Source organism: Homo sapiens, chromosome 5 (genome assembly GCF_000001405.40).
Source record: "Homo sapiens chromosome 5, GRCh38.p14 Primary Assembly".
In the NCBI taxonomy this organism is placed as follows: Eukaryota; Metazoa; Chordata; class Mammalia; order Primates; family Hominidae; genus Homo; species Homo sapiens.
In genome coordinates this window covers 11,296,503-11,312,240 of record NC_000005.10, presented here as the reverse complement: position 1 = coordinate 11,312,240, position 15,738 = coordinate 11,296,503, and the positions used below count along the sequence as shown (strand labels likewise).

Here is a 15,738-nt window from a genome sequence, read left to right as displayed (position 1 = left end):
GTGTGGGGTGAGGCTGTATGGGGAGTGTGTGAGTGTGTATGTGGGGTGAGTATGGGGAGTGTGGGGGATGACGGTGTATGGGGAGTGTGTGTGTGGTGGGGGAGAGGATGTATGGGGAGTTTGTGTGTGTGCGTGTGGGGTGTGTGTATGGGGAGTGTTTATGAATGTATGGGGTAAGGGTGTATGGCAAGTGTGTGTGAGTGTGTGTGTGGGGTGAAGGTGTATGGTGAGTGTGTGTGTGGGGTGCATATATGGGTAGTGTGTGGGTGTGTGTGGGAGGTGTATATAGGGAGTGTGTGTGAGTGTGTGTGGGGGGCGAGGATGTATGTGGAGTGTGTGTGGGCGTGTGTATGGGGAGTGTGTGAGTGGGAAGGGGGAGTGTGTGGGGTGAGGGTGTATGGGGAGTGTGTGTGAGTGTGGGCTGAGGGTGTATGGGGAGTGTGTGTGTGTGTGTGTGTGTGAGGTGAGGGTGCATGGAGAGTGAGTGTGTGAGCATATGGGCATGTGAGGTGAGGGTGCATGGGGAGTGTGTGGTGAGGGTGCATGGAGAGTGAGTGTGTGAGAGCATATGTACATGAGTTGAGGGTATATCGGGAGTGTGAGTGCATGTGGGGTGAGGGTGCATGGGGAGGGAGTGTGTGAGAGTATGTATGTGTGGGTTGAGGGTGCATGGGGAGTGTGAGTGCCTGTGGGGTGAGAGTGTGTGTGTGAGTGTATGTGTGGGATGAGGGTGCATGGAGAGAGTGTGAGAGCATATGTACATGTGGGTTGAGGGTGTATGGGGAGTGTGAGGGAATGTGGGGTGAGGGTGAGTGGGTATGAGAGTGTATGTGCATGTGAGGTGAGGGTGCATGGAGAGAATGTTAGAGTATATGTACATGTGGGTTGAGGGTGTATGGGGAGTGTGAGGGCATGTGGGGTGAGGGTGAGTGGGTATGAGAGTGTATGTGCATGTGAGGTGAGGGTGCATGGAGTGAGTGTGAGAGTTTATGTATGTGTGGGTTGAGGGTGCATGGGAAGTGTGAGGGCATGTGGGGTGAGGGTGTATGGGGAGTGTGTGAGAGTGTGCCTGTGAGGTAAGGGTTCATGGAGAGAGTGTGACAGTGTATGTGCATGTGAGGTGAGGGTGCATGGAGAGAGTGTGAGAGTGTATGTATGTGTGGGTTGAGGGTGCATGGGGAGCGTGAGTGCCTGTGGGGTAAGAGTGTGTGTGTGAGTGTATTGTGTGTGTGGGGTGAGGGTGCATGGAGAGAGTGTGAGAGTGTGTGTATGTGTGGGTTGAGGGTGCATAGGGAGTGTGAGTGCATGTGGGGTGAGGGTGTATGGGGAGTGTGTGTGAGTGTATTGCGTGTGAGGTGAGGGTGCATGGAGAGTGAGTGTATGAGTGTAAGTACGTGTGGGTTAAGGGCACATGGGACTGTGAGTGCATGTGGGGTGAGGGTGTATGGGGAGTGTGTATGTGAGAGTGTATGTGTGTGTGAGGTGAGAGTGCTTGGGGAGTGTGTGAGGGTGAATGTCTCACAGGGAGGAGGAACATGAGAGAGGCATCTACTGAGATGCCGCTGGGGAAAGGCAGAGAAAGAGGAGAGGTCGGTAAATCCGGGTCCTCGGGGTGTTTCCATGTTGAGAAACAGCATGGCCTTTGTTTTTGAAGGTAAAGGACAACTCCCCAGGTGTTATGAATGAGGATTGACAGAATCAGAGCTGAGTTGCAGGAAGATTACAGTGATTTTAACGTGTAGGATGGAGTGAAGGGATAGATCTGTGAGCTGTCGCAAAAGATGACTTTGGGGTTTTAGACCTTAGAGAACAGAGTTATAAATAGAAGTGATGAAGGCAGAGGGAGAAACTAAGTTTGAGGGGAAGATAAGGGCTCACTTTAATTGTGTCAAATAGGATATGGCAGTTCTCTCAGTCAACAAGGATTTTTTGGAACACCTACTAGGTGCCAGGCCTGTGCACAGCACTGAGGATGTAATGAACAACACACTAAAAGCTGTCAGACCCCATGAGCAGGAACTCTGTGAGAGGCTGTTTTTATTTATTTCTCCCTAGCCACTGCCTAGCCCAGGACCTAGCCCATTGGAAGGGACCAAATACTTGTTAAATAATAAAGACATATGTAGATAGTATATTAGTCCATTCTGTCATTGCTAAAACAAACAAACAAAAAAAAACTACCTGAGATAGAGTAACTTATAAAGCAAAGAGGTTTAATTGGCTCACAGTTCTGCAGGCTGTATAGGAAGCAGGGCTGGGGAGGCCCCAGGAAACTTACAATAATGGCAGAAGGCAGAGGGGAAGCAGGCACATCTTACATGGCAGGAAAAGAAGGAAGAGGGCAAAGGGGAAGGTGCCACACATGAGAACTCAATGATTATCACTAGAGAAGCAGGGGGGAAATCTGCCCCCATGATCCAATCACCTCCCAGCAAGCCCCTCCTCCAACACTGTGAATTACAATTTGACACAAGATTTTGAGCAACGACACAAATCCAAACGATATCATTCTGCCCCGACCCCTCCCAAATCTCATGTCCTTCTCACATAGCAAAATACAATCATCCCTTCTCAACAGTCCCCCAAGTCTTAACTCATTTCAGTATTTACGCAAAAGTCCTCAGTCCAGAGTCTCATCTGAGACAATGCAAGTCCTTTCCATGGATGAGCCTGAAAAATCAGAACCAAGTTAGTTACTTCCAAGATCCAGTGCAGGTACAGCTGTTGGGTAAATACACCTGTTTCAAAAGGGAGAAATCAGTCTAAACAAAAGGGCTACAGGCTCCATTCAAGTTTACAACCCAGCAGGGGAGGCATTAAATCTTAAAACTCCAAAATAATCTCCTTTGACTCCATGTCTCACATGCAGGCCACACTGATACAAGGGGTGGGCTCCCAAAGCCTTGGGGAGCTCTGCCCCTGTGGCTCTGCAGGGTACAGCCCCCTCAGCTGCTTTCATGGGCTGGCGTTGAGTGCCTGTGACTTTTCCAGGTGCACAGTGCAAGCTATCAGTGGATCTACCATTCTGGGGTCTGGAGGACAGTGGCCCTCTTTTCACAGCTCCACTAGGCAGTGCCCCATTGAGAACTCTGTGCGGGTGCTGATGATATGGTTTCAATTTGTGTCCCTGCCCAAATCTCATGTCAAATTCGAATCCCCAATGTTGGAAGACAGGACTGGTGAGAGGTGATTGGATCACGAAGTTTGATTTCCCCCTTGCTGTTCTCATGACAGTGAGTGAGTTTTCACAAGACCTGGTTGTTTAAAAGTGTGTGCCACGTTCCCCTTTGCCCTCTTCCTCGTGCTCCTACCATGTAAGACGTGCCTGCTTCCCCTTCGCCTTCTGCCGAGGCCTCCCCAGCCATGCTTTCTGTATACTCTGTGGAACTGTGAGCTGAGTAAACCTCTTTTTTATAAATTACCCAGTCTCAGGTAGTTCTTTATAGCAGTATGAGAAAGGACTAATACAGATAGACTGTGGTACATCTGAATGGAAAGGTCCAAGCCATTAAAAATGTTGTCTGGATTTGCATCAGTATTCATTGCTTCTGATTACTTTTGCCCTGAACGAAGGTAAGTTTATGTTTAAAAATAAAAAATCAAACCAAAACACATTTAAACAATTAATAGACTTCAAGTTTTGTGTAGTTCATCACTAATTTTGAGTTTGTGATTAGTGGAACGTTAGGGGAAGTGAACCCACTACTTTCCCCAAATCAGGATTGGCAAGCTACAGACTGCTGGACAAATCTGGCCCACAACCTGTGTTTTTGGTTGTTGTTGTTTTTTTTGTAAATAAAGTTTTATTGCCATGCTATTTGTTATTCTATGGCTGCTTTTGCAGCACTGTAACAGCAGAGCTGGCTAGTTGTGAGAGACTGTTTCCAAAGCCTAAAATATTTACTATCCAGTTATTTACAGAGAAAGTTTGCTGGCCTTGTTTCTAAATCACTATGTGATACATTAAGAGCCTGTTTGCAAATTGAATAGATAGCTTGCTTTAAAAAAAAAAAAAAGTAATTATAATCTAAGCAGAGGCTGACCATACTTAGGCATACAATTTAAAACACTGTCCCAGCCCAGTTGGGCTGCTGTAACAAAATGCCACAAACTGGGTGCCTTACAAACAAGATAAATTTATTTTTCACAGTTCTGGAGGCTGGGAAGTCTGAGAGCAAGACAGCAGCACGTTCGTTGTGTGGTGAGGGCCAGTGTACTGGCTCAGGGACAGCAGTCTTTGCTGTGTCCTCACATGGTGGAAAGAGAATGGCTAACTCTCTCGGATCTGTTTTATAAGGGCACTGTCTACCTTCATGAGTGGTCTACTCTCATAACCTAATCACCTCCCAAAGTCCTCATCTTCTCACACCATCCCCTTAGGAATTAGGATTTCAACAATGAATTTGAGCAGGGACACCAACATTCAGCCCATAACAATCAATAATTATGCAGTAACTAAAGCAGGACTTTTAACAGGCAGCACTATGAGTCTAATATAATGCATGTTTGCCCTTAAAAGTAATAAGTTTCGTTTGTCTTGAAAATCTTCTATAATTGATACTTTTTTCATCATTAGACTAATATTTTCTTATGAAACCAAGTTTTTCTTATAGAAAATTGTTTCATGAGCCCCAGTTAAAATGAGCATAAGATGATCCCTTTAGATACTGAGATAATATGATACAAATTATTACTAGTGAGAGGTTATTTTAAAATATAGGCATTGTTCAGCAAGCGAAACTTTCTTCAGCCCCTTGGCCCCTGTCATATTTTTACAAGAAGTCTCCAAAGCAGGCCTTGCCTTGCTGTCTCCTGCTGAGAATAGAAGGCTTCCTCCTACCAGGTTGCTTCCCCTAGTGCCCCTGTGTATTGCGCCCTGTGACGATTCCCTTGTGTACACACACACACACACACACACACACACACACACACACACTACTCTACCTTTGTGGTTTGGATATTATCTCACAGGCATAGCCTGATCTACCCTCACTTGATCACTGATTCAGGAGCAGAGAAAGAAGGGATGGAAACATTTCTGGGTATGGGATGTGGAAAGAATTACTATAGCAGTAAAACTAACTTGTTCTTAGAGACTGATAAATGACTCTGAAGGTAATTCAGAAAAAAAAAAAGGCTTTGGGATCACACTTTGAGCAAAGTAGCCTCATTTAACTAAGCCCATGGCCACCTCAGGGGGCCACTCTGAAAGACAGAGGTCCCTTCAACCTGCACCCCTAGGATGTTGGTAACAACCCCAGGTTGTGGAGAGGAACCCTGCACTGAGACCATGAGCATGCTCCCGCAGGGACACACAAAAAGGAAGCACAGTGCGAGCAGAGGTGTCAGTCCTCTGTTTTGAGGCAGAATGAGGGAGTTGTCACTAAGGACAGCACACTGAATTGTATGAATTTAAGATCACACTTCATTCTCTCTGCCTTTTCATTTGGACGCAGTGCAAGCCAAACCTTTGAGGCATTTTGGCATCTTGACTCAACAACATGGTGAAAGATCAAAGCATCAGACATTCCTATGCATATGTGTGGATAAAAGCACATCCATAAAGTTTAAAGATAGTTGGGCCTTGCATAACAGTCCCCAAGGTCAACCTGTAAGTTTTGAAAAAACAGCAGATCAAGAAAGCAAAAGTCTTTTTGTTTCCAAGGCAACAGAATGACAAATAACTTGACTCTTAGTTGAATGGATGATAAGATGATTTCAGTATCTTTTCAACTGAAAATGGCTATAGAAAAGCAGACATCCTCGGATCCACCCCATGATAGCTCCTGGAGCCTGTTTTCCTAAGTTGTCCCAAAAGATGTTCTAACAGCCTTGATGGAAGCAGCTTGCAACTTTTAATTTGTTGCAAAGAAAGAAGGGATAAGTGAAGCAAATAGACCAATCTTTAATTCACATGGCAAATACTTAAGAACAACTGTATTTTCAAACATCCCCCCAAAATATATCATGAATCTGTTTATCTTCAGCCTGCACCTCCACACGCACATCCTAAGCCAGCATCATCTCTTGCCTCTTCTATTGTCAGAGCCTCCTAACTGGCTTCTCCGCACTTTCAGTCTTGCTTTCTTCTAATCAGTTCTTCTCACAGCAAAGAGAATATAAATCCTTCATTTATGGAAATCAGAGTGCTACTCCCCTGCTCACATTCTTCACTGTCTTCCTGTTACATTTAAGAACAAGTATAAAGTCTTCAAAAACTCTCTTAAGACCTGGGATGGGTCTAGTGCCTACCCTCATGTCCCATCACTGTTTCTCTTGCATATGGTAAGCCATTTGTATAGACCTCCGTGCAATACCTTTTAATGGGCCAAACTTGTTTCCACTGCAAGGCCTTCCTCGGGGGCCATCCCTCTGCCTAGGACATTCTCCCATGTTTCTCACTTGGCCAACCCTACTCATCTCTCAGATGCGCTCGAGAAGAACACGTTCTGAATCCTCAGCACCACCTGCCCATCTAAGTCAGGTTATTTATTAAAAGCCTTCCTGGCATCCTTAACCTTTCCTTCCTGACACTTAACATAGTTTGTTACTGTGCATTAAGAGGCAGGTGCTCCTTGTTAATTTTTTATTTCCCGTAGCAGCCCTGTCACTTAAGTCTGCACCTGGCTCATAGCAGACACTGAGGGACATTTTTATAAGGAGGACGTGTGAGAGGGAGGGTGCTGTGAGTGTGAACAAGATGCATAAACAATTCAATAGGATGTGACAAATGACACAAGAGCCACCTACATCAGTGAGGGCACATGGAATTGCTGCCTGGGGAAATGGCTGCAGGGACAAGAACACTAAGAGGCTAATCCAGTATTGGCCTGAAAGCTGCAGTGGCATGACCAAAGGCACTGGAGTGGGGAGGTGGGGAGAGAGAAGGGCAGAGCGCAGCAGTTAGAAGCCAGGATTGGGAGCCTGATGCTGAGGCCCATTCTGACTCTGCTCCTGACAGTGGGGCGATCCTGGGGAATCCACTTAAATGCTTCCTGTGCCAGGTTCCTCATCTGTCAAACGGAGATGGTAATAGTACCTGCCCTGTCGGGTGGTGCTTAAGATGAAAGGAGTTTGTATTTGAAAGGCGCTCAGAACAATGTTTTGTGTGTAGTAAGAGCTACATTAGCACCTGGTAAGACACCACCTCTGAAGGGAGCAAGGCAGTGAGAGTGGTGACTGGGAGATGCAAGCGCAGTGACCACAGGCATTTCTCAGACTGCTGCCTGGTGGCTCAGTGGATGCAATGCCGAGATGCATTCATTCAGCAAGCAAGCAAGCAAGCAAGGAAGCACATAAACCCTCCATGCTGCAAGGAACTTGGGATAACGTGCTTCTTAAACTCGGTTCTTTTCCGCATTGAGCTTAGACTAGTGGGAAACACGTGGAGATTCCCAGCAGATGGAGAGAACAGGTGGATGCACAAAACATGTTGGAAAAGGAGGAAAAGAAGCTGACTGAACTCTGAGCACAGTGGCCAGGAAGAAACAGACTCTCTGCCGAGAGCACAGTTGTGTCAGGACAAGGTGGTTGGAAGAAAAGGGTGGTATAACCAAGTGGGCTGCCACGTGGCTAGACTGAGAGTGGAAACCCCTGGCCCCTTTCTTGCAAGGAACAAAATCCCTCCCACCACTGTTCCTTGTCCCTGATCTCAGTTTAATAAAAAACAAAACCTGATTTTATATTTGTAGTTTTATATTTTTTAGAGGGACCAAAAATTATTATACAAGTTTCAGGTCTGCAAAAACCTGGATACATCTAGGAATGAAATGCATTGCTGAGCACCATTGAGGGAGGAAGTAGTGTTATGCATGGGGGAGAGAGAGTTTGTGTGTGTGTGTAAGTGTGTGTGGTGTGCCTGTGTGTAATACATTAATGTATACAAAAGAGAGAGAGAAAGAGTGTGTGTGTGTGTGTGTGTGGTGTGTCCGTGTGTAATGCATTTATGTATACAAAAGGCCAAATAAAAAATAATGAAACGGTTTGTGCAACATTTCACAAAGTATTTTAATACAGTATTAATCCTCAACAACCAATAAGTCAGATAGCATTTGTATTAGTCTGTTTTCATGCTGCTGATAAAGACATACCCTTCATGCTGCTGATAAAGACATACTCAAGACTGGGTAATTTATAAAGAAAAAGAGATTTAATGGACTCACAGTTCCACGTGGCTGGGGAGGCCTCACAATCACGGTGGAAGGTGAAAGCCACCTCTTACATGGCGGCAGGCAAGAGAGAGAATGAGAACCAAGCGAAAGGGGTTTTTCCTTATAAAACCATCAGATCTCCTGAGACTTATTCACTATCATGAGAACAGTATGGGGGAAACCGCCCCCATGATTCAGTTATCTCCCACCAGGTCCCTCCCACAACATGTGGGAATTATGGGAGCTACAATTCAAGATGAGATTTGGGTGGGGACACAGCCAAACCATATCAACGTTATCTTCATTTTAGAATGAAGACTGAGATTCAAGATACCCTCAGTAACTAATCAAGGCTACTGAACAAAGTGGAAACAGCTGGGTTGGTTTCCCATTACCACATACTTCCTCCTCATGGAATCAAAAAGCACCAGGAGAAATCTATGTCTTGGAGCTCTTCCTGAATGAAGAAGGAATAGTGATCAGGTCATTATGGTCAGCAGATAAATACTGATGGCCTACATTCATTGAAGGTGAAGTCTGTGCCAGGCATCCGCTTCAGCAGTTTGCATCCATTACATCACTAAGGCCTCAGCAACCCAGTGAAAGGAGTAATAGTATCATCTATGTTTTATAGAAGGAGGAAACTGAGGCCAAAGCCAATGGGTGACTTACCCAGGGCCATAGAGAAAGTGTGAGGAGGTCTGAATTCAACAAGGCCATCTGCGTGCAGAAACCATAGCATAACTACCGTGTTAGGCTGCCCCTTGTGAGTTCCATGAGCAACCTGTACTGACAGAAATGAATAATTAGGAATTAACTTTTTCCTAAGGTCAAGAGCATTGTCTTTTTCTCATCAGAGACTGAATTTATATCTCAAACACCAAGCTAGAATTCAGTTTAGCTGTATTTTCGAGAAGCTGCCAAATGCCAGGTACTGGACTAAGTGTTGAGTGGAAGAGAAAGGAAGTTTCTGAGGCAACCCGTGGCTTGATTATGTTCACAGTCTTAAGGAGAAAAGACATACTTGGAACATTACATTACATATAGGAGGCACCATGTGCTGAGGAGTGACTGATTAAGACAGCAAGTTAACCCAGGGCTCAAAGTCTGGCTATGCCTGTGGGTCTGAACACTCTGGGATAACTCTGGGGCAGTAGGCAAAAAGGAGGAAGGACGCGAGGTTTCTTGGAGGAGAAAGGGTATCTGAAATGGTCCTCCTCCTCCTAACTTCCCTCTACATTGTGAAACCTACCAGGCATTGCCTCATAACCAAAGTGGCATATGCTGAACATTTATTTACATCCTCTATTTGCCCAGGAGATCATTTTCCTGCCAGCTGCTATCATCAGTCAGAGGCAGCTTCTCAGAGCTGGGAAGCCATGGTCACATCTTGAAATTGTCCTGTGACTCCTCAGCATGGTTTCTTCTCCATTACCTGACAGTGGAGAGCAGGTGAAGCATCACTGGAGACCTGGGGAAGGCATCTTTTTCTCTTCACTGCCTTTCTCTAAACCACACCTAAACTGAGGTGCTCAATTCTTAATCCCACATGCGGCATTTACCGGGTTTGTTGCGTTCCTTTGGCATCACCCCTTTTCTCTCTTCTGTGGCCCCTTGTAAGGAAGTAGCACAAGGAACAGACTGGGGGATAAAGGAGAATAACTTCCTATGTTGAAAGATGACACATCCCTCCGAGACTTCAGCTAAGAGGACTCCCCGGTAAGAGCTGTCTCCAGGTGTGCAAGACTCTGGAGGAACATCCCCTCTGATTCCCTGGATCTCTCCCTGTCCCCGCGGTCTTCCTGATTGGGAGTGGCTGTCATTCTCAGCTGCCCAGAGAGCACCACTTACTCTGAAAAACACAAGCCCGCTTCCCTTCTTTCCTTCCTCTCAGTACTGATGGGAAGAGCCAACCTTAGGGGAAGAATTGTATTCAAAAGCAAAGAGGGCAGATATCAATTAATTACGAAGAAAAAGCCAGAAGCACAAGTCAAGGAAAGCAAATTTGGTACAGGTTTCTGATTCGACAGTTACCTCTCAGCTCCAGCTCATGGTGTGCCAAGGATCCAACTCCCAGTTGCCCACATTCCTTCTCAGGACCCCCACCCTCCTCCAGTTTACCCACTCCCTCTTCCTCAAGGACACAACTCAGTCCGAGAAAGTCATGGAGCAGTGAAGGGCCAAGTTCCATCTTCCAGGAAAAATGTCATTTCCATCATAAAGATGAAAGTTTAGGGCAATTAAGTCTCCAAAAATTTGAATCTATTTTTCCCCCAGGGTGGGAGGGGGCAAAAAAGAACAGAATTTCTGTGCTTGTGATCGAAATGTAGTATGTGACTTTAGTATAAAAATGTATGTCTTAAGATTAAAACACAAAATATGTTTTCACCCATTCCCTGTCTGCTTGCAAACCGTCCTTATATTGCAATGCTGAGTGAAGAATACGAATTTTAAAATGTAATTTCTTCTCTCTCAACAATGAAACTTCAGGGGAAGAAAATAATGTTTGATATTTTGGGGGTCATTGGAGAGAAACAACAAGAAAGATTGTAAAGCTTGATGAAGTTCTCCAAAAACGCACTATGTGTGGTTGTTCGTCTTAAGTCTAAAACATGATACAGTTCCTTCATGGCACACCCTGCCACATAGTGTTGGAATCACACACACACGTTGGAATCTCCTTTGTTTTTTCCCTAGTTCATTTCAGTGACTCCAGCTGAGGGCATTCCAGATGTTTCCTGTCTGCTGGACCCTAGAGTAAGAAAGCAGATGGGGGCCGGGCGCGGTGGCTCATGACTGTAATCCCAGCACTTTGGGAGGCAGAGGCGGGCAACTCACGAGGTCAGGAGTCCGAGACCAGCCTGGCCAACATAGTGAAACCCTATCTCTACTAAAAATACAAAAAAATTAGCTGGGCATGGTGGCAGGTGCCTGTAATCCCAGCTACTTGGGAGGCTGACATAGGAGAATTGCTTGAACCCCAGAGGTGGAGGTTGCAATGAGCCGAGATAGGGCCACTGCACTCCAGCCCAGCCCAGCCCAGCCCATGCAACAGCCCAGACTCCGTCTCAAAAAAGAAAGCAGAAGGGGAGACCACACACTGAGATACCAGTTCTTGTTTCATTCTGTTTTGTTTTCTTCCCCATCAGTATCTTCCCCATCAGTGTCAGATTGTGCCCTCTGATCCCAGGAGAAGGTTGTGCTGCAGGCCCGTGTTCTGAAGACATCTTCCCTTTCTACTTCCTGTTTCCAAAAGGCGGCACCCTTGAGGGGATGGGAGTGGAGGCTGGGGGTGCTCAAAAGAGTAGTGGCTTAGCTCGTCATGGAGAGGGTCTAAGGTAGCCAGATAAAATACAAGATGTCCAGCCACATTTGAACTTCAGATAAACAACGGGTAAATTTTTAGTATAAGTATATAAGTTCCAAATATTGCCTGGAACATACTTTCACTTAAAAAAAAAAAAAAGTTGTTTGTCTAAAATGCAAATTTAACTGGGTGTCCTGTATTACTTGCTAAATCTGGGAACTGTGTGTGGGGAGGGTGGGAAGGACTTCGGATCTGTAGTCACTGGGGCCCCAGGCCTGTTATTCACACTAGGAGGTGGAGATGGCAGAACATCTGGGGGACAAGGAGCCCTGACAAGGAAGCTGGACCCGACTTGAGGGATTGCAAAGGCCTGAGTGATAGGCATTTCTGGGGTGACCAGGCCCATTGAGGACCAGAGGGCCACCAGAATAGTTTCCTTTGCTTGGACCTTCCAGGCTGTGAAGTTCCCTTGGGTGTCCTCTGCCTACCCTGTTTTTCAGTGGAGGAGGGGTTGGTTCTTATCCTCATTCCCTTCTCCAGGCCACTCTCCTAGCTGTTTCTGCTGGAGACCAAACCTGGTCTCTTTTCCTAAGAGCAGGAAATCCTATCCGTTCCCCATGGAAGGGATCTGAGGGTTAACCACAGGATTGATGGTGTCATGGATGTGGGCAACTTAGAAGTCTCTCCTGAAATGGAGTCCCTGCACCCCCAGAGGCTCTTATGATCTTCAAACCTAAATGTATATAAATGAATACAATAGCCCTGAAAGCTGCCCATTTCTTTTGAGAGGATCATGTGTAATGTATTCACATGTATGTTTCATGCCCATCAATTAGCACACATAAGTGGCCGTGTTTCTACATGGCATATCAGAGCACTGAGGCACACTGGTGCTACCTGCCTTTGCCAGATCTCCCTTACCAGCCCCTGGTTATTTAAGGATCCGAGCAGTCTGAAGGTCCAAGACTTCAGATCTGCAAATGTCAAGGCCTTCTTTGTGGCTGGCCCAGGCTCCCAGCATCCTGTTATGGTTTTGCACTTGTTCTCAGCATCCTTAGCCTGGGAACACACTCAGCAAAAATCAGACACACCTTGGCAGGAAAGTTTCACGGAGGGGAGGAATAACATGGCCATTCTACATGTTTCTACCTTAGACGACCCACAGATCCTGCTAGTAGATGACCATAGCTTCTCCAGAGGTTTCTGTCAAGGTGATGAGCGATAGAATAGAAACACCCTCAGAGGGCCTGTGAGAGGTGGGAACGGGAGAGGCTGCTGCTCCTTGGGTGTACCTCATGCAAGCCTGCCTCCTTGATGCATGTGAAATTGGGAGTCAAGAGCTCCACTCCTCTCTTGACTCTGCTACTTTGAGCTTTGTAACCTTGGGTGAGACTCTTCTAAGAGTTTGTTTCTTCTGGTAAAAGGCGATGGCAGTAACGAGGTCTCAGCTTGTTGAGAGAGTATATACCAAAGAGTTTGACATATGCTTGCCTATGACAGATACACAAATGGTAGCTAAACCTCCACAAGTGGGACATCGAAGTGGTAAATTTAGACCAAACCGTGAAGAAAAGCCAGTCCAAAACCAAAGAACAGCTAGGAAAACAAAACAGATCCTCACTAAAGTTAAGAAGAGAGGTGAGTGGGAAGGTAGCCTAAAGAGGTGACTGATATGCGTCACTATCATTTTATTATCTAATAAAATAGTTCTCCAAATAGCTTCTGTGTAACTCATATCCAGAGTGAGCATTTATGTGTTTGTACCACAAGGGTTTCTATACAGTGGAATAAAAAGGTGACCCAAGTAAATATATTTACCAGCTATATTATAATAATAATAATTCACCACCAATCATTACGCATTGTTCTAAAGTGTTTACCAAGTATAAATCATTTTAATTCTTACAAAAACCCTCTGAGGTACTATCACTACTCCCATTTTGTATCTAAGGAAACTGGGGCAAACCGACATATGTAACTTGCTCAGCATCCCAAGACTGTGAATGGTGGAGTCTGGGATTGTAGCTATAGCCCGTGCTACACGCCACATTTCTATACTGACTGTGCATTTCTATACAGGCAGTGCATGAACCATTTAAATTCTTAGGAAACATGTTTGTAGATGCAGTCATCAGAAACCAAGATCATAGAAGTAATAGAACTAGCTCAATGAGAGACATAACTAAATGAGAGAAAATCCAATGATTTAGGCATTTTAAAAGCAAAATAGAAAGGGTTTGGGAGAAAAGGAATTTTACTCTTCAGATTAATACATTCACTCCTAAGCTTTAGCATTGTTATAAAACAAAAGATGGCTGGGAGCAGTGGCTCACACCTGTAATTCCAGAACTTTGGGAGGCCAAGGTGGGAGGATCACTTGAGGCCAGGAGTTCAAGACCAGCCTGAGCAACATAGCAAGTCCCCATCTCTACAAAAAATACATAAAATGGCCCAGCATGGTGGTGCATACCTGTAGTCCCAGTTACTCAGGGGGCTGAGGTGGGAGGAACACTTGAACCCTGGAGTCTGAGGTTGCAGTGAGCTGTGATTGTGCCTCCAGCCTGGGTGACAGAGCAAGACCCTGTCTCAAAAGAAAAAAGAAACAACTAAATAAAAGACAGCCATTTATTTCCTGAGGATTTTGTTGTCACTTAAAAATTGTCATCGTTTTCATAGGGCGTAAAGTTTTAATGTCTAGGTGCAGTTACACTGGCATGGTTCCTTATGTACAATTTACTAACTTTGAAATGTGATGTCATTAAGAGAAAGCAGAGAAACAGGACATAGGACATTTCAGGGCTGTGCTCACCCCTGTTGTACTCTATTAGCCCAATATTGAAGGTGCTAATTTTTACTTTAACATTAGGATGATGGTATTTTCATTTTGTCTTGTCACTTTTTTGAGGTGAAAATAACTAAAGATATGGAAATTTGTTAGACAATGGTGGGTGGAATAGATTTTTGCATCCTAGGATAAAATCCGAACTCGTGAATATGTTGGTTCATAGCTTAGTCACCCCACTCCTCCTGTCCAAACTCTCTAAGATAGAGGTTCTTGACCTTTTTTGCCTCCTGACCTCCCTTACACTCTTAAAAATTATGGAAGCCCTCAAAGAGCTTTTTACTATGAGTTACATCTCTTAATATTTACTGTATTTAATATTAAAATTTAAAAATGTTTAAATGCTTAATTTAATATCTCCTTTAAGTATTCATTTAGAGTTATGATCATAAACCATTTATGTATTGATGTAAATATTTTATTTAAAATGACTATGTTTTCCAATATAAGAAGAATAACATTATTTTATAATTTTGCAAATGTCTTTAATGACCAGCTCTGTGGAAGACAGCTGCATTCTCATATCTGTCTCTGTATTCTGTCTGTGGTAATACGTTTTGTTAGAAGTATATCAAGAAGATCTGGCTACACACAGATGCAAAGTTGGAAAAGGGAGAAATATTTTCAAAGCTTTTTAGACAATTGTGGTTATTATTTGATACTATACCAAAACTCTACAAGTTTTAGTTCCTTAAAGGTTAGTTGAAATATGGAATTTAAAAATATAGCAATGAACTTTTTTGTACTGTGTAACTTCAAATCCTTGAATGGACCTTGAATGTTGTAAATTTGTCTTTTATGAACATCTGTGATGTTGGCACATACTGGGCTGACTTTCTTGCAGATCTTCTAAATGTTGACACAGTTCATTATACAATGTATTTTAAAGTCATATTCATTAATATTATTAATGATCACATCAGAAAGTCTTTAAGTACTGAGAAACTTTCTTTTTTTTATTATACTTTAAGTTTTAGGGTACATGTGCACAACGTGCAGGTTTGTTACATATGTATACACGTGCCATGTTGGTGTGCTGCGCCCATTAACTCGTCATTTAACATTAGGTATATCTCCTAATGCTATCCCTCCCCACTCCCCCCATGCCACAACAGGCCCCCATGTGTGATGTTCCCCTTCCTGTGTCCATGTGTTCTCATTGTTCAATTCCCACCTATGAGTGAGAACATGCAGAGTTTGCTTTTTTGTCCTTGCGATAGTTTGCTGAGAATGATGGTTTCCAGCCTCATCCTTGTCCCTACAAAGGACATGAACTCATCATTTTTTATGGCTGCATAGTATTCCATGGTGTATATGTGCCACATTTTCTTAATCCAGTCTATCATTGTTGGACATTTGGGTTGGTTCCAAGTCTTTGCTATTGTGAATAGTGCCGCAGTAAACATACGTGTGCATGTGTCTTTATAGCAGCATGTTTT

At 44.4% G+C, this 15,738-nt stretch overlaps 1 protein-coding gene across 12 annotated transcripts in view; it reads left to right on the top strand.

The window, feature by feature from the left end:
* Positions 1-15,738, top strand: part of CTNND2 (catenin delta 2) — a 932,611-nt gene that overhangs the window by 592,206 nt on the left and 324,667 nt on the right. The window lies entirely within an intron of this gene.